Here is a 1,921-nt window from a genome sequence, read left to right as displayed (position 1 = left end):
ATGGAAGGATGTGTGCTTATATATGTATATGTGTATATGTGTATGTATGTGTGTGTGTATGTGTGTATAATGGCAAATTATGATTGTTTTAAGAAACTTTTGGAACATATATGGAAAATAGTATTTCAGAATGCAAATCTCAGAGATTTTAAAAAATTAATATTGTACATATTGCATTTGCTGACCATAATTTAATGGAATAAGGAACCAGTAACAAAAGATAGCTAGAAAAATCTAATATCCTATAAGAACAAAAACTTTGTCAAATTAACAAATAAATATGCTGATTTTTGTTATGGACATTGACAAAGATGGTCTTAATTTTCCTCTTAGCTTGACTAAACTTTTAGACCAGTTACTTCCTGACAATAGGCCTCCGACCTCCCCTTCTTTTTTATTTTTAATTAATTAATTAATTAATTATTTTTTGAGACAGAGTCTCACTCTTGTTACCCAGGCTGGGATGCAATGGTGCAATCTTGTCTCACTGCGACCTCCGCCTCCTGGGTTCAAGCAATTCTCCTGCCTCAGCCTCCCGAGTAGCTGGGACTACAGGCATGCGCCACCACGTCTGGCTAATTTTTATATTTTTTAGTAGAGACGGAGTTTCACCACGTTGTCCAGGCTTGTCTCGAACTCCTGACCTCAGGTGATCCACCCACCTTGGCCTCCCAAAGTGCTGGGATTACAAGCGTGAGCCACCGCGGCCGGCTGATCTTCCCTTCTTTAGAGCACTTACTTTTGAAAACTCGCAATTGTAAATTTTTTCTCTTTCCCTTGGGGATGTAAATCTTCCCCCAGCCTCTTGCCAGTTTTGCTCAGGAATGTCTTTCTCAAAGACCCAGGAGCCATCTCTTTGAAATGTAATTATCATGAAGGATAGAGTCCCTATTTTCATTCTCTGTGGGAGGGTAGGATCCTAACTATGATAAATACCAATTAGCAAACACAGGTGGCCTATTCATATTAAACCAGGTTCTCCTTAACCTTCTCTTTCTCTGGTGCTTTTTCACTAACTCACTCTACTTACATACCGTTCATTTAGGAAAAAAAAAGTTTTCTTAAAAAATGTCTCTATTAATTCTTTATATAGACAACTCACTAACTCCATTTATTTGTTGTAGCAGTTAATCTGGGAAGGTTAGGGGAGAAATTTCTACATTTGCAATCATATATCTAAGAAAAACAGTTTTATTTATTTAATTTCTCTGTATTCTTTCTTTTTAAAAATTTCTTGGCTTTCTTGTCAAGTCATAACTTCCAAAACTGTCTTACAGAGACATGTATAATTTTTCACATGATATTTATTCAAAAGTACTCTTATGAATCAAATTAAGAGAGTTCCATTTCATTTTCTATTTACTATGCCTTTTATCAAATGTTTGTTGGCACGTTATTGGGATAAGCAAGAAATTTTTCTAATTCAACTCATGTAATTAATTATACTGATTGATAATTTTTCAAATGTTTAACTACATTTTCATACCTATAAAATCTCCACTTTAGTTGAATTTATTATCTCTTAATGTATTTATTTTTCCTTTATGCATAATATTTTATATATTTGGGGGTTACATGTGAGCATAGAATGTGGAATGATCAACTTAGGGTATTTGGCGTATGCATCACCTTAAATATTTACCATTTCTAAGTATCACTTCCATGGGTTGGTAACATTTTTAAGTCCTCTCTTCCAGCTACTTAGAAATATAAAATACAGTGTTACCAACTATGGTCACCCTAGTCTACTATAGAACATTACAAGTTATTTCTTTTATCTAACTATCAATGTGTACCCATTCACCAAATTTCATTTATTTCCCCCTCTCACCCTCACACCCTTCCCAGACTCTGGTGTCTATCATTCTATCTCTATTTTCATGTCATAAAGATTTTTAGCTCTCACATAAGAGTAAGGGTA

The 1,921-nt window shown here is 34.4% G+C and overlaps 1 annotated feature.

The window, feature by feature from the left end:
• Positions 564-1,177: an enhancer, noted in NCBI's record as "OCT4-NANOG hESC enhancer chr13:83171783-83172396 (GRCh37/hg19 assembly coordinates)". NCBI's record gives its function as "activates a minimal SCP1, AML or CMV promoter by ChIP-STARR-seq in primed H9 embryonic stem cells {active_cell/tissue: H9 hESC(primed)}" and the evidence as "EXISTENCE:reporter gene assay evidence [ECO:0000049][PMID:30033119]".

This window comes from Homo sapiens, chromosome 13 (assembly GCF_000001405.40).
Source record: "Homo sapiens chromosome 13, GRCh38.p14 Primary Assembly".
Lineage (NCBI taxonomy): Eukaryota > Metazoa > Chordata > Mammalia > Primates > Hominidae > Homo > Homo sapiens.
This window is presented reverse-complemented; position numbering and strand designations above follow the sequence as displayed.